Source organism: Homo sapiens, chromosome 10, assembly GCF_000001405.40.
Source record: "Homo sapiens chromosome 10, GRCh38.p14 Primary Assembly".
Taxonomy (NCBI): domain Eukaryota; kingdom Metazoa; phylum Chordata; class Mammalia; order Primates; family Hominidae; genus Homo; species Homo sapiens.
The window spans coordinates 76,100,183-76,125,858 of record NC_000010.11 but is presented as its reverse complement, the minus strand read 5'-3'; the positions used below and the strand labels follow the sequence as shown (position 1 = coordinate 76,125,858).

At 44.4% G+C, this 25,676-nt stretch overlaps 1 protein-coding gene across 3 annotated transcripts in view, besides 2 other annotated features; it reads right to left on the bottom strand.

Annotated features, from left to right (window-relative positions):
- LRMDA (leucine rich melanocyte differentiation associated) overlaps window positions 1-25,676 on the bottom strand; it is a 1,128,545-nt gene that overhangs the window by 434,310 nt on the left and 668,559 nt on the right. The window lies entirely within an intron of this gene.
- Window positions 12,877-13,430: an enhancer, noted in NCBI's record as "H3K27ac-H3K4me1 hESC enhancer chr10:77872187-77872740 (GRCh37/hg19 assembly coordinates)". NCBI's record gives its function as "activates a minimal SCP1, AML or CMV promoter by ChIP-STARR-seq in naive H9 embryonic stem cells {active_cell/tissue: H9 hESC(naive)}" and the evidence as "EXISTENCE:reporter gene assay evidence [ECO:0000049][PMID:30033119]".
- Window positions 22,149-22,848: an enhancer, noted in NCBI's record as "OCT4-NANOG-H3K27ac hESC enhancer chr10:77862769-77863468 (GRCh37/hg19 assembly coordinates)". NCBI's record gives its function as "activates a minimal SCP1, AML or CMV promoter by ChIP-STARR-seq in primed H9 embryonic stem cells {active_cell/tissue: H9 hESC(primed)}" and the evidence as "EXISTENCE:reporter gene assay evidence [ECO:0000049][PMID:30033119]".

The window sequence follows — 25,676 nt, the reverse complement described above, 5'->3', positions numbered from 1 at the left end:
GAGTAGGACAGACAAAACATTCTGGGTTTATGCTCTGTGAGTAGACAGTGATGTCCTCTTCACAGAAACTGAGGAGGTCGAGACAGTCATCTTGGGATGGCTTGCTTGAAGCTCTGTCCCTCCAGCTGCATGCAGTCCTGATGTGGGACACAGTCACCAGAAACCCAGACTACCCCTTCCAGCCATCACGCCCTCCTCCTCTAGGTGACAGACCCCACCTTTTGGGAGCCTCTCCCCCTACCTTCACTGTACTCTGGTTTCCTGCCTTGACAGATGGTAGGCAATTTTACTCTGGGCAGCCACTCAGGCATCAATGGTTCAATTTTTTTTATTAAATGACCTTTCATCATTTCAGGTGTGATACAATGAGAAACAAAAATATTCAAAATCCAATTAGTACATGCAACTTCCAAATATACATTCTGTAAACATAGCAAACTGTCCTCATAAATACTATCATATCAACATTTTGCCGAACAGGAGGTCACCTCATTTCAAAGTGTTGTGGATAATTTTGGAAGAATGAAAATTCTCCAAATCTTCTCCATGCACAACACAGCCGAACGCAAGAAGACATTCACCTGTCCCAGCTTCCCCCTAGCCCTCCACCCCTGCAGAAAAGGTGTTAACAGGAAGAAGTGGAAACAGCGATTTCTATTGCAGTCAGCTGACAGGAATAAAATCAATTAAGCATTTGCAGAGGAGGGAACAAGAGAAATAAATATCTATTTGCTTCTTCAAAGGCCAAAAGAAAAGATAATTTGAATCAGAAAAATAATCCAGATTCTAAATCCCCTTTGAGCGTCAGCTTCTTAAAGTTACTGATTTAAAAGATATTTCCTGGAAATGCCTTCTTAGTTAAGTAGAAATGTCATAAGTAATAATGATTATAGCACACATTTCTCTACTGACAGTATGGCCCCCAAACCCTGCTTTTGAGACAAAAATGATGGGGACTGGGCAGCTCCCAGCTGCTGTTCATAAGCTACCCACAAAGCAATTATCTGCAGATGGTTGGTGAGATTATTTAAGGAATCGGCTGGCAAAGCATGGAAGTTCACTGTCCAAATGGTGAAACTGAGGCCCCAAAAGCGAGTCCTTCTCAGAGACGTGGGGAGCAGTCAATATCTGAAAAGAATTCAGACTACTGAGCCTTGTTAATGCTAAGGGCATTGACCCAAACCCTACTGTGTGGCCAAGGGGCTGGATTCAGGACACCCACAGGGGCCTAAGTCCTAAGGGTGTGGCCTGGTTCAATTACTATTGAGTTCTGCCAGGAAGACCAGGATTCTTTTTATCAAAGGCAAATAGCTTGCCAGAGGCATTTTGATTTGATAAGAACATACCAAAATATAGCATTAGCTGTCCCTGACACATTACTCCACTGTTTGTTCAAGAGTGGTGACATTTAAACAGCAGTAAGTGTAGAGGAAAGAAAGGCAGCCTGAGAAAAGGTGTGAGTTTCCTGTGTCCTGGTAGCATCAATTTCAGCCATGATACACTTGGCAAGGACTGTTATCAAAACACTGACACAGATGGTGTCAAAGTGAAGGAGGGGGACCTCGTTGTCTTGTTACCTAAGCAAATGAATTCTGGGTCATCCTGAGAAATAGTTACCAAGGGAAGAAAGCAAAATCCCAACCCCCTTTCATCTGGGTCACTGCACTGTGAATACTCTGGATTTGAGGGATACTTAGTACTTGATACCGATGGCAGAAGCGACAAATAGTAGACACAGAGAGTCATGGTTGGGCCTAGAGACGATGGGAGAGGTGGCAGAGGAGAGAGGAAAGCAAGGCGGAAATGAGACAAGGTAGAAGAAAGCAAGATTAACAAAAGTTTCAAAAGGTGGAGTGGGAGAGAAAAGATCAGGGAGGGGAAGGAACAAGCTAAAGCACTGTTGCCTCTTTGGTAATAGTAATAATAAGACAGAAGAGGCTCATCTTTCACCCATCCATCCTTCAACCAGTTATTAATTCATTCTGCAAATATTTGCCGCATCCCCTAACATGGCACAGAGTTTGAGATACACGGAAAGATGACAAAGTATCTTTAAGCAAGCTTTGCCACTGGCCTCAGCCAGGATCCTGTGCCTTAATGAGCACCAGTTTCTGAGATGCTGCAGAATGCTGCCTCACATCCACCTCTGAGTGAAAGAATTCCTTCACAGATTATATATATTCAGAGAAGGACTATCCTAACCTACAGTTTAGAACCTTTTATGTATAAAGCACACTGGAAGAACACTAACAACAATAACAGTATCAATGGTTTCCATTTGTAGACCACTCATCAGCACCTTTCTGTGTTTTACATATATTGACTTGTTTTGTTTTTGTTTTTGTGTTCTGAGACACGGTCTCACTGTGTTGCCCAGGCTGGAGTGCAGTGGCACAATCACAGCTCACTGCAGCCTCGACCTCCCAGGCTCAGGTGATCCTCCCACCTTAGTCTCCCAAGTAGCTGGGACCGCAGGTGTGAGCCGCCATACCTGGCTAATTTTTTTTTTTTTTTTTGGTAGAAATAAAGTTTAGTCATATTACCCAGGGTGGTCTCAAACTCCTGGGCTCAATCTGACTGCCTTGGCCTCCCAAAGTACTAGGATTATAGGTATGAGCCACTGTGCCTTGCCTTGTTAACCTTCTTAATAAGGAGGGATCATTAATATCCCCAAAGTCACTGACCCAGTAGAATTCAATCCCAAACCACGTGGATCCCAAGTCTGAGGTCTGTTAGCCAGCGCCCTATGCTGCCTCCACCAGAGGATAGCATGGAGAATGAAGAGTTGTACTGTTGAAAAGATTGCATGCCAAACATGAGGAGAGCACATTTTTCTGAAATCCCTAATAAGCACAGAATAAAATGCCCAGATCTGGGAATCCTTCGGATCATCCTAGATGATCCAGGAGACATAACAGAGGTGGAACCTTCATCCCTGCCCTGAAGGAACTTAGAGCTAAAGAGAAAAGGCTAATCTCCATGGACCATGAGCAGGAAAATGGTCTACTAAATGCCGAATCAGCTTTGCAGCCTTAGAGTTGGGGTGAGCTGAATGTGGCTTAGAGTAGAACCCAGAAAGGCAAGCCTAACAAAAAAATCCTTAGAGTTCATGTTCATGTTCATCTCCATCCCTCATTTTGTAGGTAAGTAGGAGGATGAACTGGGAAAGAGGCCGGCTTTGCATTGTAAGAGAGATGCTTCATTTGCTAAAACAAGTTAACAGCAACAGCAACAATAATAGTGGCTAACATTTGTATAGCATTTATTATATGCAGGTTTATTCTAAGCATTTTCATATATGAACTCATTTAATCTCTAGAGAGAACTAGAGACAATTATCATCTCCATTTTACAGATAAGGATATACAGAGACACAAAGAAGTTAAGTGACTTCCCTAATGTCACACGACCATCATGTGGCAGGGACAAGATTTGTACCTAGATTGCCCAGTTCCAAAGTCTTAAAAGACCTCACAGACAGGCAGGGGAAGGAAAACACCTGAAGGTGCCGATGGGTTTAAAAGGGCTGCTGGCACCGAGACTGGACACAGCCCAAGCAGGAGACAATCTGCCGCAGCAGATGTCTGAGCATCTGATTCTGAGACTTAAGGTGATCAGGTGACCCTGGGCCTCCTGGGATGCTGCTCCTGGTCTCTCACACTCCCTTGGAGATACTAGAGATGACAGAAGATGCATTTGCTGTTCCCTCTGCCTGGAACTCTCATCTACCTGCCCAAATAATTGTATATCACTTAGCATGAGATGTCACCTTCTCTGAAAGTCCATCTCTGATCATCCTACATGTCACAGCATGACCTCCTGCTTGACACATATTTATTTATCTACTTATTATCTGTCTCTCTTACCACTTCCACCCCAAAATGCAAGCTCCTCGGACAGGAACTCAGTCTATCTGTATCTCCAGTGCCTAGAACAGTACCTGGCACATACCAGGTCTTTATAAATGTTTGTGGAATAAAGTAATGCATGATCCCCAATGGGAACCATAGAATTTAGAGGAGAAAGGAGGAGAGGAATAATTGCTTTCTTTGAGAAGCTCCTAAAATGATATAAAATACATTGATTCCTGTCTTTAGGGAGCTCCCAGTCTGACAAAAAGATGTTGACTCCACATGGAGGAGGACTGAATCTAATACTGGATATCTGGTCCCCATCCTGGGGGAATTCACCGTACTGGGGAAAACAGAAACAGTGACTAAGAAGCAAAAAACCAAGTTGGCATGGGAGAATGACATTAAGGGGAGAAGTTTCCTCTCATTTCATGACAACCCTCTCAGGTGTCAGGAGAGTTGAAATATGAAGCCAGAACTCAGTCCCAATGGAGAAACCAAGGCAGGGCCATGTCCCCATCTGATCTGCATCAAACAGATGACAGACAATTGTGGATTGACTGTTTTCTGGCCTCAGCCTTTTGGAAGCCCAATTTTTCCTCCTTCTAAACATCTGATTCAGCTTCTCATAATGGTGCCTCAAGCCCACAGAAATGGGCTGGAAATACTGAACAACGCCCTCTGCCAGACAATTGCCTCATTAACTAGAGTATCTCATTAATATTACCATTATCTAGGCGAATTAGAGGACTCCTTTCTCCTCTCCTTCCTCTTTCTTTCTACTCACCCCTGTTCTCTCCCTATCACCTTCTCCTCCATAGCTCCTCCTCCTTCTTGAAGATACTAGATACCTATTAGATAGGTCTCTCCCATTTCCTAGAGCTGGCAAATTGAGATCCTACGTGCGGGTGGTGTGAGGAACACATACAAACATTTCAATATCAACTAATGTCTAAGATAAAGAAAAAGCAATCCGGTGAAACCCCATCTCCACTAAAAATACAAAAATTAGCCAGGCGTGGTGGCGGGCACCTGTAGTCCCAGCTACTCGGGAGACTGAGGCAGGAGAATGGCGTCAACCTGGGAGTCAGAGCTTGCAGTGAGCCAAGATCACGCCACTGCACTCCAGCCTGGATGACACAGCGAGACTCCGTCTCTTTGGAAAAAAAAAAAAAAAAAGAACAATCAACCAAGAAACAAATTGTTTTTATCTACCTACCCAGTTCCAGAGCTAATTTTACCTCACTCACATAAAGCTATTGGTCTTGATTCAAGTCCTTGGTATGTACAAGCTCAAAATAATCCTAATCTGCACCAACCTAAGAGGATCAGCACATACTGTTTTGGTCTTTCTATCATCAAACAGCATTTCTTATGCTATCATCCCATTTTTAAATATTTTCCAATATACTGGTAAGATCCTATTTTTGTTGTTGTTTTATAGTTTTTATTCTTATAAGCTACCTCAAACCATCCATGAAACATGGCGCAGTATGAAAATTAAAAATCAACACATACTTGGCCAGGCATGGTGACTCACGCCTGTAATCCCAGCACTTTGGGAGGTCAAGGTAGGTGGATCACCTGAGGTCAGGAGTTCGAGACCAGCCTGCCCAACATGGCAAAATCCTGTCTCCGCTAAAATACAAAAATTATCCCGGTGTGGTGGCACAAACCTGTAGTCCCAGCTACTCAGGAGGCTGAGGTGGGAGAATCACTTGAACCCGGGAGGCAGAGGTTACAGTAAGCCAAGATTGCGCCACTGTACTCCAGCCTGGGTGACAGAGTGAGACTCTGTCTCAAAAAAAAAAAAAAAAATCAACACATACCTGTAGACATGTCACCAATGTACAAATGGAAAATAAAGAATGTATAGTAGATACAAAGAGAGTCCAGGAGAAGGTAAGAAAAGCTATACAGGTAATTGAGTCAAAGGGGGCTGCTCTATATGAGGATTCCAGCATCTGGGAAGATAGAAGCTGCAAGAATACAACAGAAACTGATAAAAAGACCCTAACAAATGGGGGGCTTATCCACCCAACACCAGAACTGGGAGGCTCCCCTTCAGACTTGAACTAGGTAACATAAGATATGGCATTTCACATTGGTAAGAATCAACTGAAAAACCTCTTTGTCTTAATAGCTGGTTCATGATTAAAATATAAATGGACATAAATTGAGATTCATCATGCCAAAGCCATGACGAATTATTATACCAAACTGGGACATGCATTTTGGAGAAAGCCCAGAACCTCAGGAATGTACAGAATTACAAAGTTCCAGAGTGCTGCTTTCCTGGAAGTCCCTTGGGAAAACATGGTTTCATGGGTTTGGGGGGAATCAGCCTCTAGACTTAAGAGTGACTGTCCTCTGATGGAAGGAGGAACATGAATGTACTTCCCCAGAAAGTGAGAACAATAGCTCCCTTCTGAGATTAGCATGCCCATTTGACAGAAATGTATGGTCACAGGATGGGCAGAAAACCCAGTTTTCACTTTCTCTCCCTGACCCTGGACATCTTGGAAGCTTGACATACTATATGGACCAGTAATAATAATGAAAACAGTAATAAAAAGCCCCTGCAGTTTCAGGGAGAGATTTCTAGTCATTTTCCAGGTTCCCTCTTCATTTTTAACTTATTCCATACGCTTTGCTACCCACAGACCCCAGCCTCAGCAGCAGAAGCAATCTATGCTGCCCTGCCATTTAAGTGTGAGGAGCCTTGGCTCCATTGAAGCTTGTCATCTTGCCTATTAGCTTGATGTCTTTATTCACAGACCATCTGTACCACCGAGAGATACAGAGGCAGCTAATGTCAATATGAACAAATGCCTCCTCTTTTACAAGAAATGTCAAACACAGGACAGGCTAAGAATGACCCCAGGAATACCAACAGATGTTCACTACAAGCCTCTCAAAAATCAATCCTTTCTACAGGGACTAATTAAGATAAAATAAGGAGCAAAAGTAAAGAAATTTGTGTCATATTATCAGGAACTTCATCCTCACTTTCCAAGCTCATTATGGGCAGATTGGCCTGCGCCCTTTGAAAAAATGCTAAAAGAGGGGCTGCAGCTACCAGGGCACCAGGGAGACCTTCATTCGCCTCAAGTTCCGAACTACAAAAAGAAAATCACTGCTCAAAAAAAAAAAAAAAAAAAAAAAAAGTGTATTTGCACAGGCTGATTTTTCTGTGCTGGTTTCTTTAAACAACCACCCACAAAAGAAATCCATTTTCAGAGTCTCAAAAATAAATAACAGGATAAAAAAGATATGATTGTGATGTTTTTAATGCAAAAGGGAATAAGAGGGCTTGGTACCCTGGGCTTGGGAGTCCAGGCTGATGGGGCCACAGAATGGTCTTCTCCTCCAAGATAAATGAATGTCTCCTGCACTCTACATTTTTCTTATGTTTTCCTCTGTCATGAAAAGGCAGAATCTTGTGTATGTATTAGCCTCAAATGGACCTAAGTTTGCATTTCCTGAATTTTAAATATAGCTCATCTTCGCCTTTAAGTAAAGGAATACCTGCTACCCAGAACATTTGCTGTTCTTCATTAAACTATTTGTCACACACTCTGATTGGGTAATAACATTAGCACACTATATCTTAATATAGAAGTTCTCAAACATGTCTCTGCCCAAGTGCTTGGAGGATGATTTTATAGAGCCCAACCCACTCCCAAGGGCTCCCTTAAGGTGAGATGTGATTCTCCCTAAGTTAATTAACTCCACTCCTCTCTCTCTGCTCAAGAAATTACAGAGGAAGGCAGCCAAAGTGAATCTGGTCTAATTTACATGAATGTACATCATTCACAAACTTCAGTACTGTATCATTAGTCACCATTTGCTTGTGGCCTCTCTCATAAAATGATTCCCAAATTTTACCAGTGAGTCATGGTGACACCCCAAAGTATCCTTAGGGCCTACTAAAAGCAAAGCTGGGAGTCACCTCCACAACAGCATGGCTCTACCAGGAAGTCTCTACCATAAAGCAGTGTGCACAGAGGGAATGGGTCAACATCTTGGAAAAGATGAGGTTTTATTGTGGGTTATGAAAGCCTGAATTTTTGGCATCTCAGCCTATATAGCAATAGGGGAAAGGCACAAGCACTTCATGATCCTCCAAAGCAACCAATGAACTCTGTACTAAAACATATCACCACTTCACCACCACCACACTACACCAGAATGTCTGACAATATCCTGAATACTACAGTAAAGGCTAAGTATCTTCTTGGATCAGTCTGCCAAAGTTTGCTCAAATTTTTCTATCAGCTCACAGAAAAGTTTGGTCCTAGATGATTCCCTTTGACCATGGAAAGCACTCAGTCTCATCTTGGTTGTATTTTATATAACTCACTCGAAGGCCACAGAGCCAGTCTTTAAGTGACTGTTTTTGGAGCACTAGGTCATTCTCTTCTTGGCCTGGAAAGGCTGTATGATGCTGAGGTGAAACCCATGACAAAAATCATATACTAGAGCTCTGAAGCTAATGAACATTTATTTATCCATAATTGATCCCCCAAAGCCTATGCTACAGAATCATGGGGACTCTACTCTGGGAAGATTTTAGTATCCTTTGTACTTTACCCTCATGTGAGGTAGATCTCCCAGTTTGTCCCACAACAAGAAGAGCTATTTAAAGATAATCAACATCAAAATTGTACATAATCAACCACTGTCAGGAGACAGAGTTATGAATATGCCCTGGTTGGGTCTCTTATTCAACTTACTCCCTCACTGACACAATTTAGTAAAATCCAATACAATCTCCATTCTTCCTTCTCCCTCCTTCGTGATCATAACACTGAGTGCAGCTTTGCCATTAAGTCCACAGTTGCAACTCACTGAAGCACGAGCACTGTTGGTATGGATAAAATCCTACTGCAAGGTGATCTTTTTCCTAGCTAGCAAAGATTTCCAATTTGTAAACTCCTGCATTAGAGATCAAGCAGATGTAGGGGGCTGGTCACTGCCCAGCCCAGGTTCTAACCCAGTTATTATTATTATTGTGTGAACATAAGAGCAAGAGTTATTGGATAGACGTGAATAACAAAGGGAAACTGGTTACCCAAGAGAGCCCTGGAAAATGGCTGAGATGAAAGTTCTCCCAGACCCCATTAGAGCCCGGGAATGACTCTTGAATGTATGTAACAGACACATAGGGCATCAAAGGTGGAAGAAGAGAAGCCAGGCTCACCAGATGAAACTCAATACAAACCAGTTTCCCTTTAATGTAAAAATGGCTACCCTCAGGACTCCTGTCAATCAAAACGGCTGCCTTGAGAGCATAGTCTCCTCTCAAAGTTGACATCTGGGAAGGCTGCTTGCCCAAAAGGACTTAATGAGACTCCATTTCAACTGAGGTTTAAACCTTTGACCGGGAGGTCAAAGTGCTTCTAGGAAGGGAAAGAGGGAATATGATAAGGAGAGTAAAGACTCAAGTCTTGCTGGGAAACTCACATCTAATGAAAAGGTCTGAGGCTTCCTACCAACAGACTCATCAAGGGTTTAGTATATGAAACCGGAAATAGGAAGCCTGGGGTTCTAGTCTTGACTTCCACTGGGCAAGTCATTACCTTCTCTGAACCTCAGATTTCTCACCTGTAATCTGGATTATCTGAATTAGGGATTTCTACAGTTCACTTTAAATCTAAAAACCTTTTGATTCTGTAAATTTACAGAATTAAAACTTTCAATTCTGTAAATCCATGTTATTTTCCCATATTATCTTTTCTAAGTAGCACAGTCAAGACAATGTATAGGTGTTGGCCCCAGAAAGCAGTAAATTGAAATATCAGCTCTACCCGTTTGATACATACTTAATCCCCCAGCAGAGTGGAGCACTTGTCCTAGTGTACCTGCACAAACACTCATGCTTACACAGGCACAGGTGCGGGCATCCCACATTCATACCCACAGGGCCTGCAGTGGCCCCATCCCATTCCATCTCAGAACATAAACCACGAGTGATAACGCGCCGTGTCACACTGTGCTTCCCACAAGTCTGAGCTGGCAGTACTTGATGCATTGAGGACCTGGGAAACATCTGCAGTTTTGTGATTCTTCCTCGTTTCCATTCCCACGATGATCTCTGTGCCTGCTTGGATCAGAGAAAGGTCGCCGGCTCCATCTGGCTGCCCTGCCCCCTCCATTTTCTCCCTCACCACTCCAGTCCCCCTTAGGAGTTTCTGCCCATTTTGTCACTTCCACCTGTTCTGACAGGTTCCCCTGCCTGACCCCAAGATAGCCCTTGGGGACATTAATCATATAACAGCCGGAGCTGTGAAAGAAACAAGGGTTTGGCTGGATACTGTTACCATCTCTGTCACCTACTAATCATGTTCTATGACACAGAGGGGCTTAATCAGATGGTCTGCTCTCTCATTAATCATCCTGGGCTCACTCAAACTTCACAGAGAGATTAAAGTTTAGCTCCCTGTCTCCCTGCACCTCCTCCCATCTCATCCGCCTCTAAGGCAATTTCACTAGGGGTAGGTCTCAGGTTCCTTTTGCTTTGCCAACTGGCAGGGTGACCTAAAGTGTCTGATGCCTATCAACACCACAGCGTTCAGGAGGAGGACGACGACTCTGCTTCCTTACTACTCTCCTCTCTTGGCCTCGCCAATCCACATATAATGCAGAGACGCAAAGATCAAAAATGCATTGAATGGGAAGGCAGGGAATCGCACATCTGTGCTTGTACTGAAGAGTCAAATGAAGATTTATATACCTATGAGCAATCTCCCTAACCACCTTAAAGAAGTAATAAAGGAGTATTTTCTTGTGTTTAATCAATAGTAAGGAAAATTAAATACCACAATCATTTTTAAAGTGATTCATTAAAACAGGCACTTGTGGCCAAATTGCCTGGAAATGGCCCCAACACGAGGAAAGATGCTCCCCTCTTAGGATGCTAGCCCAGGAGCCTCCTTGTCACTCTATTGAAATAATAACTTCCAGCAAAGCAAAAACAGCTTGTATCCTTTACGAATGCTTTCCAGACCAAAATAAAAATGACTGAAAGGACCCTCCAAAAATACCGAGGATGTGAGAGTCAGAACACATTTCAGCTCAGCTGATTCATTCGTATCCTGTTTGAAATTTTCTGAGCTTCAGGGGGGACAAGCAAGCCCTGGCAAAGGCCTCCAGAAAGGGCTTCTCTCCGAGTGTTGGTTTTGTACTTGCTCTGGGTGCTGTTGACTTTTGCAGCGCCTTACGATTATGGGAAACAAAGATAATATTTGCCCTCAGAGCCAGGAAAGAACAAATATTTTATCAACATCTAAATCATCTCTCATCTGGCAGGGGAGGAGGCACTCAACGCTCAGCTGCACACACGTAAGCTGATGAGGGGAAGGAAAGGGGCTGCTTGGGGACTCTCCTACCTATGTAAACTCGACCTATCAATACCTGGGATCGTATCCTTTGCAAAGAGCTCTCTCTGTGAAAATCCAAATTACCTCTGTCCTTCCAGGTGCCCCCACCACTACCCCTCATCCCAGAATGATTGCCAGAGTTCCAGGATGGGCCCTTTTTCACTTCCAAAAGTGGAAGCCAAGCCTAGGACTTGGGAAGGTGGGGTAGTTCTATGGATATTTTGGGGTGAATGAGGGCTTGCCCTGTTGTTATGTTTGTTTCCATTTACTGATCCTCTACCACTAGCCCAGAAATGACAGTAGGTGGAAACACTATCTTTCATTACACAAAGTATAAATAGTGTAATCTATCAGCGCCGTCAATCACAATGATTGATTACAGGCTGTCATAGAGAAGAGTGACATATTAGAAAAGTTTTGTTAACAATGCCTATTGCTAGTCAGCCTGCCACAGAGGCTGGTGATTAATGTGTTGTCAGCCTGTAATCCCACACCCTTGGCTAATGAGGCAGGAATTTATCATCTTTACAGAGTGGCAGATGTCAGGGAGAAAGGAATCCAAGTGCTGGAAACAATATACTTTTTCTTACTAGGCCTGACAAGTCTGACAGGCCGAAAAAAACCACAAAGCAGCTTTGTATAAGCACCAACTTAAAACGAGGAACTTTTCATTTGGCATCTTCGCTTTAAACTGTGCTGCAAACCAACCTCGATCCCTTCAGGAAAAAAGGGACAAGAAGAGAGGAGGGCACAATGCTGAGCTCTGTGAACTTTGCACCCCGTTCTTGACAGCCAGAGACCCCAGGAAAAGGTTGCCATGGCGAGCAGACAGCTCTCTTTGGAAGGGACGTCCAGAGCAACTTTTCACTTTTACCTGTGAACTTGTGGCTGGGAGAGAAACGCGGCATCAAATGGAGGCTGGGGACAGCCACATCCCTTCCCACTGCCTTGTGTGGCTTTTACCTGGAGACACATCTCAATTTCTAGAAGCACTGCCCTTTCTGCTATGGATGAGAAATGGGGGGAAATCTGAAAAAGGGGGCTTTTCATTGGTCAAGAAAAAGCAATACAGCATGAAGAGGCGACCCTTGGAAACTGACTCTCACCAACACTCTGTTCTGATTTTAAACCACTCTCAGGTTGGTTTTTTCCCCCCTCATCTTCTTTCCTCTCACTCATCTCTTCCATTTTTCATATGGGGTAGTGACAACTCTCCAAGCCCAAGAAATTCAAGCCCAGTGGAAAAAAAAAAGTCTCTAGAGGTCGTTTTAATAAATGCCTTGTCTCTCAGCATCCCATCCCCTCAACTGCGTCTGCCACCCTTCCACACAATTCTAATAACAGAGAAGACCCATCGGGCTAGGTCTTGGATCTTCTAAGACACTATGAGATGCTTCTGAATATTTCAACGCCTACTAGATTGCCCATTCTGTTCCAAGTAACTCACCACACTGGCCCCACAGGAGACACCCAATGTTTTCCATGGAGTATGGAAGAGATTTCCAAACTAGAAGATTTACACTCCTCTCCCCACTGATGCCTTCTGCCCATGCTCGGACTAACAGGAGGAAGTCAAAGGGAAAAGGCCTGGATTAAGGAGGTTAAGTCCTCTGGTTTGGAAACTTCTTGGTACCAGTGTTCTGTGAAGACTTAATATGTTGTTTATTCTCATGTCAGTTTCCAAGGCAGGGGCAAAACTTAAGTGGCAACATTCTGAGGGAGTTAATCCTTTTTCAAACACAGATACCTCTGCTGATACAGACAAACGCAATGCAAAAAGAAAAAAGAGAGAGAGAAGCAGCAACCAGAGAGAAAAACTCTGCCTTCTGTCAACAGCACCCTCAGGCTAGAACACACAGCAAAGCATTAAGTGATTTAATCTCCAAAAGGCAGCGTTCTGGCATTAAGATTGCACTGGGGGCTCCGGGAGCCGGACCTACCTAGTGCAGTAGGAGATGGGTTTAGTGGCCCAGAAGCCCACATGCCCAGAAGAAAATCCAGGGCAGTACCAGGGCCTCTTGGGGCTTCCCCAGATCCAGGGTGCTGAAGGCTGCGGACCTGGGAGACCTTCCCCCTGACGGGCTTGGGGTCAGGCGCTGCACAGCTGAGGCTCCGCGTGGAAGCGCCCCCCTCCCCACCGGCTCTTTGGGGGATCCGTGCAAGAGGCGAGCGGAACCCTGATGCTAATCAGGCGGCTCTGAGTGAAGGGTGACGAGGGCCGGCGCCGGCTCCACTCTGTCCAGGCCCCGCCGTCCTGGCCACAGATCTCACTTAGCGATAAGCAGGGAGCTGCGCAGACGCCCCATACCCTGCTCCTGCATGCCCCCAGTGTGCTCAGGGAGAGGGGCTGAATGAACCCCCCACCCAGAGCCTCCTGGCAGAAGGGAAGTTGCCCGGTGGGGCTCCCCCAGGCTCATTCCTCGCCGCTAGAAGGAGACAGGGGTCCCCGTCCGCCCTCCCGCCAGCTCCTCCAGGCTGCCAGCCCCTCCTCCTGCTCCCTTGCTCGCTCATGCAGCTTTCATTAACTCCCTCGGCCGGCAATTTCCATCCATTTGACGACAGATTAGAAGTGGAATTCAAAAAGAAAGTCACTTGACCTCCCATAATGTGCTTCTCTTAATTACATTAAAGATTTTCAAATGTAGCCATACTGGGTTTGACAGGTAAGGTTTTAATTAACTTCAGGTGGCTACTTTTAAGTGCTCCCCGGACTGGTGCCGCAACGTTGGCGTCACCTACGCTCCCAACGTGGTTCTAATTTAAACGGCTAATTTTGACGCGAAGAAAAGATGAGAGCCCACCATGCGCCCCCCCCCACCCCCATTTCGGCGGGGGTGATTTCTAAATTAGGATTAATGCAGCAAGCTGAAGCATGGTTGGAGGTTTATTTTATGGAGGGTGGAGCAAGTAAATAACATTTATCCTTTGTATACGTCTGCATATAATTACAGTAAAGTTTTCTTGTGTGTTAAATTATACAAACTCTTCAAAAGTGGGTGCCTAATGTCTTTTTCTAAAGCTGTGTTATTATTTTGGTCAAAAGTTGTTTACATTAAACAAATTCAATTTACTAAACTTTGACATGTTTGCACAACTGCATATAATTTATGCTGGAAACCTGAATCATGACTTTCAAATGAACTTTCTTGATTCTAACTTGAACATTTAGGTGTGGTGGCTTGCTCGACCCAGGTCTGAGGAGCAAGTGGTTGACTTCATTTTCTTCTGCCAAAGTCTTTTCCATTCAGTAGATGGGTATTGAGTACGGACTTCGTCCAAGCATTATGCTGGGTGCTAAGGATATCAATGATGAGCAAAAAAGATACGGTCCCTGTCCTGAGGAGCTTATTTAAGGAAGCAGAGAAGCAAAATAACACATAAAGACATGTTAAATCACAAAGGTGACAAGGGCTAGGAAGGAGAGGTACAGGCTGCTTTGAGGATCCATAAAATAGCAGGATCTGGTCTGGTCTTGGAGGAAGGCTGCCCAGGGGAAGTGATAACAAGCTAAGAACTGGAGGATGAGAAGGACAAAGTTGATTTAGGTTACTGAGAGAAGGGATTTCAGATGTGGCATGCAGAGAAAAAAAAACAAAATGAACAAAGGCCCGTTGTGGATGGAGAATGACACTTCAGAGGGACTAAAAAGTAGATGAGTAGGGGGTAGGGACAGGGATGCTGATGGTATAAGATGGAGCTGGGCTGTAGGCAGTGGGATGAGGTGAAGCATGGTGGTGCAGGCTATGGTAGTGAATACACTCTTTACCCTATGTATTAGTCCATTTTGATGCTGCTGATAAAGACATACCTGAGACTGGGAAGAAAAAGAGATTTAATTCGACTTACAGTTCCACATGGCTGGGGAGGCCTCAGAATCATGGTGGGAGGCAAAGGGCACTTCTTACATGGCAGCGGCAAGAGAAAATGAGGAGGAAGCAAAAGTGGAAACCCCTGATAAAACCATCAGATCTCATGAGGCTTATTCACTATCACGAGAAGAGCATGGGAAAGACGGGGCCCCATCATTCAATTACCTCCCCGTGGGTCCCTCCCATAACATGTGGGAATTCTGAGAGATACAATTCAAGTTGAGATTTGGGTGGGGCCACAGCCAAACCCTGTCACCCTAAAAGCAAGACTAAGCCAGTGCAAGGTTTGAAGCAGGAGGATGACCTGATTTGTCTGTATTTTGCAAAGATCTGTTCAAGGAAGCAGAGTAGACTGCAAGGGGTCAAAAGCTGATGGAAGTAAGACTAGTTTGGGGACTATAATAGTCCAGAATTTTAAAAATGAAAGCCATGAACATGATATGGTTTGAATTTGGGTGACAGAAGTAAAGAACAAGAGTGGATGGCTTTGAGAAATGCTGAGGCAGTGTGGCAGGTAGAATGTGGAACAGATCGGCCAACTCAAGCTTCTGACTTGCATACCTGTAGGGGTGACAGTGCCATTTGCTGAGATCTCAGAGGTCCTTGAAGGAGGACTGGCCATGCACAGGAAGAACAAGAGGGACCTTTGAGGCGTCTGAGACATGTCAAGAAGGCAGAGGCAAATATTTCTCTGGTGGTCAGAGGACACATCCCTGAGTACTTTCAAACTGTGGCTGTCCCATGAAAACCTGGATGTGAATGAGGCCTCCAAGAAAGAAAGTACAGCCCGAGACGAAGAGAGGTCCTTGGGCTGAGTCCCAAGGTGTTTCAACATTGATCAGCTGGGTAAATGTAGATGAGCCTGTACAGAGATGGTGATGTAAGAGTGGCCAGGGAGGTGGTCAAAAGCCACATAGGTCACTAAAGCCAAGGAAAGACTGTGCTTCGAAAAAGAAGAGGTGAACAAAGGTTTATAGTACTAGCAAAAAGCCAAATAAGATATGCACTGAGAGGTCCATTGGATTTAGCAACATGGAGGGAATTAAGCTAATGGTAGAATAGTGGAGCCAAATTCTGCGCTGATACACACTGCACTGAATCGCTGAATAAGTTGAAGGTAACAAAATGGGGAGTACAGGAATAGACAGGTCTTTTGAAAATTTGACACTAAAGCAAAAAGAGAAAGAACTGAAGAGGGCTTCTGGTAGGGTGGTTGCTTAAAGGGAGAAGACAGAGTTCTCAAAACCTGATGGGAATTACTGTGTTGTAAGGGAGCACTGACTATGCAAGATAAAGAAGGAAAAAATGACTCTGTTTCCCCAGAGGACGAAAAAATTGATGGCATCTATCACATGGGTGGAGTAGCTAGCCTTCAATAGGGGGAAGACTTGATTGATTTTGCTGTATATTCCTGGAAAAGAAGATTTCTCTTGGGGATAGAGTGAACATTTCTTTTACCAGCAGACCAAAAGTGCCCAACAAGGATGGAGGCCTTGTCACTAATGCTATTAAGGTCATCAAACATCTTTCTTGCGCTTGATGCAAAGTGCTCACCACTTTGGAAGGAGGGGAGAAATACACAGCCCATGCGCAGGCACACTGTTATCCAGGAGATGTGCTCTAAGGCCCTACAGCACTGACATTAAGCTGGAGGTCATGACCTCTCAGCGAGGGAGAGCTACAACCAAGTTGAGATATGACTGTGGGGCATGTGAGTGAGGAGAAATGGCATTTTGGTCTGTTTTTCACATTTTCACATCTTTTCTATCCTTTCAGAAATTCGCTGCCCATTGTAGAACAAGTATCTACAATGAGTTCAGCTGTATTTGGCCTTGTGGGAAATGGAAAACAGAAAAAGTATCTTTGCATAAGTCACAGTGCACTTGAAGAAATAAGACAAATATACTCAATGTAGGAACAATCACTCAGCAAAAGTATTTCCAAAATTTAGCAGCAAGAGGCTGGTCAGGAAAGTCTTCTTGGAGGAGGCAGAACCTGAACTATGTGGTATGTTAATAGGATTTGGATAGGTGCTGAGCAGAGGGCAGGGCACTGAGCTCTATTTCCTATGCCACACTTAACATATTTTTGGAAGAATAAAAATATTTCATTGAATAAAAACAGAAAACACAGAAAAATAGGAAACAAAAATCATCTGTAATTGCAATAACCAGAGAAAAACATGATTAACATCTGGGTGATTTTCCTTCCATTCTTTTCTTTAATGATGTGTGTAGGGGTGTTTATCTTTGCACGTATATACACACATACCCTTGCACACCCAAATGGAATGTGAATCTGCCTGCCCTCATTGATTATGTCCCAGGTAGCTTTCTGGCTTTCTAATTGGAAGACTGATGGTTATTTTACCTTTCCACACATGCGTAATGTACATATGAAGTCCCTCCACAATCCCAGCTCCATTCACAACTACATCTAGTCAGGTCATGGAGGCACCTACAGCAGAGTTGGGCCGAGGGTAGCTGCCCCAGTGACTCTATGATGACAGATTTGTTCGCCGATCAATTGGATCAGAGACCCAATTACCAAAGACCACTTCCCTAGGTTAAGCAGTCCCTCTTTATTCCCAGGCTCTAGTAATCAGACATTTAAAGGCTAGTATTTCCCCAAGCTTGAAATAAGTGAGATAAATCTTCCATATTTCCATTTGGTATAAATTTCTTACTTCCCTAATTTCTGTTAGACTCCACAGTAATTCTGCCTTCTACTGTGGGTGACAAGGCTGCTCTTGAGATAAAGACTAAGTGATTCTGACTCAGTCTGTCTAGAAAACTCTTTGCCCCTAAGGGAAGAAATATCCCAGGACATGGTACCAGCAGGAACCAGAATTCAACACAAATGGTCTTGAATGCTGGTTGAAAACTTAGATGATGGGTTGATGGGTGCAGCAAACCACCATGGCACGTTTACACCTATGTAACAAACATGCACATTCTGCACATGTATCCCAGAACTTAAAGTTTCACAAAAAAGTAAAATAAAATAAAAAGAAAGGTCTATTTAAAGGACAGGGTCAGAGGAGCCACACAGGTATGTTGAGGCATCCAGAGACCAGCAAAAGGGGGAAGCTGTGAGGGCTAAAGGACCAAGGGGGAGGAAACAGTGTTAACAGAGACAGCGGAAACAGAGCCATGGAGGAAGAAGGTTCATTGCTCTCTTCTCCTGGGAGACAGAGGTAACTAGCACAGATGGGCTGCACAGAATCAAGAGCTGTTTTCACTGCATTCCAGAAACAGGGTGAGACAGGGCCTGGCCCAACCTCAAAAGGCCCAGACTGCCTTAAGTAGGAGGACTGAGGCCAAGACTAAGTAGGAGAGAACACAAGAACATCGTCTCTCTGCATCTAAGCCGCTGGTTCTGAAATGTGGTCCCTAGGTCAGCAGCCTCAGCATCACCTGGGAACTTGTGAGAAATGCAAATTCTCAGGCCCTACCCCAGACTTACTAAATCCCAAACTTTAGGGGTGAGGCCCAGAAATTTGTTTTACCAAGCCCTGCAAGCTGCAGTTTTAGAACCACTGCTCCAGGCTAATAGATTTCCCTTGAAAAGAGATCTAATGAGCAACACCTGGAAGAAGTGATCCAGCCCCAGCCAGAGCAACTGATCAGCCATGTGCAGGCCTCTACCTCCCCCACCCCTTCTAGAGAAGGCCTGGAATCTAGGAAGCAGGGAGGCTTTTGTGAAAGATCAATGCCTGAAATAAGCTCTGTGAAGCTCTCGTTGCGTCTGGGCAGAAATAGCTGCTCTGGGACTCCAGGGGGAATATTTTAGAATGATGGAGGCGCTGTTACCAGCAGCCCCTGCCTCTGAGGACTCTCTCCTCAGTCTGGCAAAAGAATGGACATGATCAGGACTCTGCTATTGCTAGCACCACTGGGAGATGATGTATTTCTGCTAATGGCACCTTCTGTCGCTACAGAGAAGCTGCTCCAGCTTCCTCTTGTCCCGCAGAGAATCTGGCAGCCTCCAGAAGATGTAATAGAGACCTGAGGACATTTGGAAGACGCACTACACAGGAAGGGTGTTTTCAATTTGATTTACCTTCCGTCTCCTACAAGGAGCAGATAGTTAGTACCACACTGCATCACAAGCCCAGCACGCACCAGGACTGGGCCTGGGGGAGAAAAAATAACCCCTGTCAGGTATACAAAGGGTGATCACATAGATGCTTGTGACGGACTCCTCCAAAGACACAATCACTGAGAATTAGCTTAAATACAGCAGGAGGGACTCAGGATAAAAATGGGGAAATGATACAGGGATATTTCATGGCTAAAGACCAACAGGGGTTCCCATCCACTGCCTGAAGAACCAATAATTTGTGAGTTCATTCTCCATACGCTATTGATAGGTTTACAGTGAAAGCAATTATTTGGGGGTTAGGTTAGACTTTAAGCTGTTAAGCATAGTGGGTGAAAATTTTCAGGAAGTTTAAGTTTCTACTGCAAAAATGGACCATACCATACCCCAAACTGGAACACTGCTTAAATGTCAGACGTACTCACATTTACTAACAGGCATTGGTAGCTATTAAAAGCAGAAGAATTATTTCAAATGGAGGTCATATCAGTGTTAACAAGGCTTGCGTGGACTCATTCGGCACATGCTTATTGGGCACTATACTAATAGTTTCCTGGGGCTGCTATAACAAATGACCACAAACTTGATGGCTTAAAACAGCACAAACTTGGCTGGACCTGGTGGCTCATGCCTATAATCCCAGCACTTTGGGAGGCTGAGGTGGGTGGATTACCTGAGGTCAGGAGTTTGAGACCAGCCTGGCCAACATGGCAGAACCCTGTCTCTACTAAAAATACAAAAATTAGCCGGGCATGGTGGCATGCGCCTGTAGTCCCAGCTACTCAGGAGGCTGAGACAGGAGAATTGCTTGAACTGGGGAGGCAGAGGTTGCAGTGAGCCAAGATCATGCCGCTGCACTCCAGCCTGGGCAACAGAGCAAGACTATCTCAAAAAAACAAAACAAAACAGCACAAATTTATTCCTTCCCAGTTCCGGAGGCCAGGTTTCTGAAATCAAGAAGTCTGCAGGGCCACACTCCCTCCAAAGGCTCTAGGGGAGAATCCATCCTTGCCGCTTCCAGTTGCTGGTGGCTTCAGGCATGTCTTGGCTTGGGGCTACATAACTCCAGTCTCTGCCTGTCTTCTCCTGGCCTTCTCCCCTGTGTCTCTGTGTCTGTTTCCCTGTCTCTTCTATTAAAAGAACTTTTCCTAGAATCGAGGGCTTACACTAATATAGGAAGATTTCATTTTGGACTTCTTAACTTAATTACATGTGTAAAGACTCTTCCCCCCCACCCCCCAAATAAGCCCACATTCACAGGTTCCAGGGGACCATATCTTCTGGGGTGGAAGGCACTCTTCAACCTATCACAGGCACTTATTGTGAAGATGGCATTGCTCTGGGAGTCTGGAATATACCCATGGAAAAAAACGGTAACGAAATCCTGCCTTTTGGAGTTTAAATTCTAGCAGGTAGAGACAGATGATAAATATTAAGCATAATATTTATGTCAATAAATATATAAGTCAAATGCAGTTTCTTAAAACGTGGTAAGTGTTCTGGAAAAAAGAAACACAGACCAAGATGAAGGAGGCCCTTGGCTGCCAAGGTGATATTGGTGGAGGGCAGTTTCCATTATTAAATACAGTGGTTTGGGTGAGGCTCATAGAAAAGGTAAGATTTCAGCAAAACCTAGAAAAGGTAATTAGCCAAGTGGATATCTGAGAGAAGACACTTGCAGGCAGAGAGAATGGCTAGAGCAAAGGCCTGGAGCAGGAGCTTGCTTTGTACATTCTAGAAACAGCAATGGAGCCAGTATGGTTGGGACAGATTGAGAAAGGGGAGTGCAGGAGAAAGGCAGCAGGGACATGAGACAGGGCAAGGCCTCCCAGTGAGATGGCAGCCAGAGGGGGGTTCCATATGGGGGGTGAGCCACAAACACGGCCCTTCGTCTTCTCATCCATCCACTCATCTATTCAAAAATTCAGCCCATTGTCATGACCCTGGCAAGAAAGAGAAGGCATATTCACCTGGGATTTTAAAAGAACAAATTCTTTACAGGGGTGTGGGCAAGATCAAAGGAACCCCGGGGACACTGAAGCACCAGAGCTACCCAGAGCAGATAGCCGTGGCCAAGACACACGGTGAGACCCAGAGCTGCAGGGAGACCCAGAGCTGCAGGGAGACCTAGAGCTGCAGGGAGACCCAGAGCTGCAGGGAGGGCAGCCTGGCATGAAAGGCTATAGTCCTGGATGGACACAGCCAGAACCACAAAGTTGCAGGTGGCAATGGGAGGGGAAGTAGCCCTACCTCTCCCTCATTGTCCAAACCCAACCAGAAGCCAGAGGGCAATGGAGCCTGGTGGTTGAAGGCATTATCACCCCAGGACACAGAGCAAGGGAAAGAAGAGTAAAACATAGGTCTGGGATGACAAATAGGGAGTAGGCCACACACCCAAGCATAGTGCCGTCCCTGGAGAGTCTGCAGAGGGTAGAAGAGCCATGGTCCTTCCCTGCTTGGGCCTTGCATTCTAGTGGTAGACAGACATTCAACAAACACACACAAACAAACACAACACACACAAACACACACAAAAGCTGGCAGATCCTGGAAGAAATTCCATCCATACTTGGAAGAAGGGAATGGTGTGGAATTTTTTTTTTTTTTTTAGATAGAGTCTCATTCTGTCACCCAGGCTGGAGTGCAGTGGCATGATCTCCATTCACTGCAACCTCCACCTCCCAGGTTCAAGCAATTCTCTGCCTCAGCCTCCCAAGTAGCTGGGATTCCAGGCGCCCACCACCACACCTGGCTAACTTTTGTATTTTTAGTAGAGGCAGGGTTTCATCATCTTGGCCAGGCTGGTCTTGAACTCCTGACCTCGTGATCCACCCGCCTCAGCCTCCCAAAGTGCTGGGATTACAGGCGTGAGCCACTATGTCTGGCCGGAATTTTTAACCTAAGGGCAGATACCAGTCTGCATCTTGCTGAGGCAGCCCAAACTCTGATAGAAAACACACAGTCATCCTGGCTTGAATAATTAAATAATCATGAGAGAGATATAAACTATCCATTACAATCTGGGAAAAAGGCTTGAATTTATGAATACATTACCTACCACAACTAAAAGGGGTGAAAATGTGTTCATCAACCTCAGGAAGTGTATGAGTAAGTCAGGCTCCATCATGCTGCCCTTGTTCAAAACCTGAGCACAGAACCCCCTGCTGGAAATGCCTTGGCAGCTCTGTGTGCTGCATCTACTGTGAGAGAACAGAGGCCCCCGGGATCAGAAGAGCAGTCAAGGGCAGTGAGTCATCCACTCTGCATGATGAGGAAACTCTCCCACTGGCAACTGGAAGCACTTCTTGTCATGCAAAACTCATGACTTTTCAAGAGGGCTCTTATTGTTAAAAACAACCTCTTTATCCTCAACTGCATTTTGCCATGTTGTATCTTCCATCCAAGAAGGTTATGAAATTGCTAGGAAAGTCTTAAAGGAGACCCAAAAAAATCATCCTCTTTAGAGAAGCTACAAAGGTTCCTACATGAAACTAGTAGAAAGATGACTTCCTTGCCTGTCTTACTTCAATAATGAAAAGTTAGGGCCCTCTGGGAAGACAAACTCAAAGAGCAATATGACAAAAATTATAGTCAAAGGAGATAGTAGGTTCCTTAAAACATTAAACGTAGAATTACCACATGACCCGGCAATTCCACTCCCAGGTATATACCCTAAAGAATGGAAAACAGGTACTCAAGCAGGACATGTTCAGGCCAGTGGCTCACATCTAATCCCAGCAATCTGGGAGGCCAAGGCGGGAGGACTGCTTGAACCCAAGAGTTAAAGGCCAGCCTGGGCAACAGAGGACCCTATCTCTACAAAAAATTTTTAAAAAATAGATAGGCATGGTGGTGCACACCTATAGTCCCAGCTACACAGGAGGCTGAGGTGGGAGAATAGCTTGAGCCCAGGTGTTTGAGGCTGCAGTGAACCATGATTGCGCCACTGCAGTACAGCTTGGGTGACAGAGTGAGACCCTGTCTCAAAACAAACAAACAAAAAAACAAAAGACATGGAACTGACCTAAATGGAAAAAGCAAATATGGTACATTTATACCATAGCATACTATGCAGCCATTAAAACAAATGAGATTATGTCCTTTGCAGCAACATGGATGGAGCTGGAGGCCATTATGCTAAGCAAACTAATGCACGAACAGAAAGCCAAATACTGCAGGTTCTCACTTATAAATGCGAGCTAAACAATGAGAATTCGCAAACACTAAGAGGGGAACAACAATGGGGCCTACTTAATGGTAGAGGGTGGGAAGAGGAAGAGGATCAGAAAAAATACCCATAGGGTATTGTGCTTATTACCTGGGTAACAATCTGTACACCAAACCCCACAACAACGCGGTTTACCTATGTAAAAAACCTGCACATCTAAAATAAAAGTTAAAAAAACAGATGCAATAAAAATATGTTCATAGTGGCACTATTCACAATAGTGAAAAGATGGAAACACCCAAACGTCCATCAAAGGATGAATGGATAAACAAAATGTGATATAGCCATACAAAGGAGTATTATTCAGTCATGAAAAGGAATGAAATACTGATACATGCTATGATGTGGATAATCTTGAAAACATTATGCTAAGTGAAAGAAGTCATTTACAAAAAGTCACATATTGTAAGACTCTATAAGAAATATATAAACTTCATAATCATATTTATAATATTTATAAGAAATAGATAAATCCATGGAGACAAAATGCAGATTGTTATTCCCCAAGGGCTGGAAGAGTGGGAAATGGGAGAAACTGCTTTGTGGGTTACGAGCTTGACTTTGGAACAATGGAAATGTTTAGAACTAGATAGAAAGGGCAGTCACACAACCCTGCGAATGTACTAAATGTCACTGAATTGTTCACTTCTAAATGTTCAATATGAATTTCATCTTAATACATTTTTTTTTTGAGACAGAGTCTCAATCTCGTTGCCCAGGCTGGAGTACAGCGGTGTGATCTAGGCTCACTGCAACCTCTGCCTCCCGGGTTCAAGTGATTCTCCTGCTTCAGCCTCCCAAGTAGCTGGGATTACATGTGTGTGGCACCACGCCTGGCTAATTCTGTGTTTTTAATAGAGACAGAGCTTCCCCATGTTGGTCAGGCTGTTCTCAAACTCCTGGCCTCAACTGATCCGCCTGCCTTGGCCTCCCAAAGTGTTGGGATTACAGGCATGAGCCACTGTGCCTGGCAATAAAATTTTTTAAAAGGAAAAGGGGATAATAAGGGTGAATACATGAATAGTCAGCAAATTCTGCCATACTAGAACTTTTGGTTCAAAAGATGTAAATTTAGAACTAACAACAAAAAGCCAGCCTTACTACCAGGTAACAAACCCAAGGACCTAATAAGACCAAGATGTGGCATAGAATGAAAATATAAATCAGTTCATAAAGGTACAGACTAGCACTTCTTAAACAATCAGTAGTTTTTGTTTATATTAAATTTCCTATCCTTCATAAATAGATACTTTTGTAATAAAATGAATTATTAGGACTTCTGGCTTCCTCTTTGAATATAAAAAGCTGGAGAGAATATCACTCATGCAATAAAAAAAAAGAGCTGGATAATTTGTAAAATTATTACTTTTCTTGATCCCAGCAGGGAACTGAACCAGTGGGAGGAAGATGGGGCCTCTGATGCCTGGATGTGAAGAATTCAGCTAAAATTTTCAATAGATTGCTGAAGGCCAACTATGTACTAGCATGAGAAAATAGAATCCCTGGAACTGCAGACACAGAGGGGTTCACAGCCACTCTTTTCCAAGGACCTCTCTATGTGCTCACAGAGAAAGAGTGGGGGCAGGACTAGGGTACAGGGAAAGCTACCCTCAATTCTACAGGAGGGAGCAGATGCTACTAATGGAAAGGCAGAGAGCTCTTCAAAATTACTTGTCCCTTAAAAGAACAAAAGCTTTAAATTGCTGGGAAAGAGGTAGCATACACTGTCATGCTGGGGGCATACTGTATCTGAGGAAAATGTTAAAGAATGAAAGACTTCAACCCCTGCAGAAGAACAGTAAGTGATCCTAGACCTGGACTATCAGAGGTCTCCTACAGCTGAGGCAGGACTCATCAATGAGCAAGACCCACCCATAAAGCAAAAGCCATTGATTGATGTTGGAGGCAGATAAGGGAGAGGGTCCCTGGAATCTCCGACCTGCCTGCACACTGGGAGAAAGGGCTGAAGCCACGGGAAGCTTGTGTCATGTGGAGGTGGGGAGGAGCCTGGCCTCTTCCGTTCCTGTGTATGGCCTGAAATCAATCTGTGAGATGGGGGCCTGTTAGCAGGAACCCCTCTTGCTTTCTGAGAGTTTTTTTTCTTTTTTCCTTTTTGCCCAATAGATTCCACATTCCCTTTACCCTTCAATATGTCTGTGTGCCTAACTTTTCCTGATCATGTGACAAGAACCTGGTTTTAGCTGAACTAAGGAGCAAAGTTCTGCAACACCATTACCAGAAATAA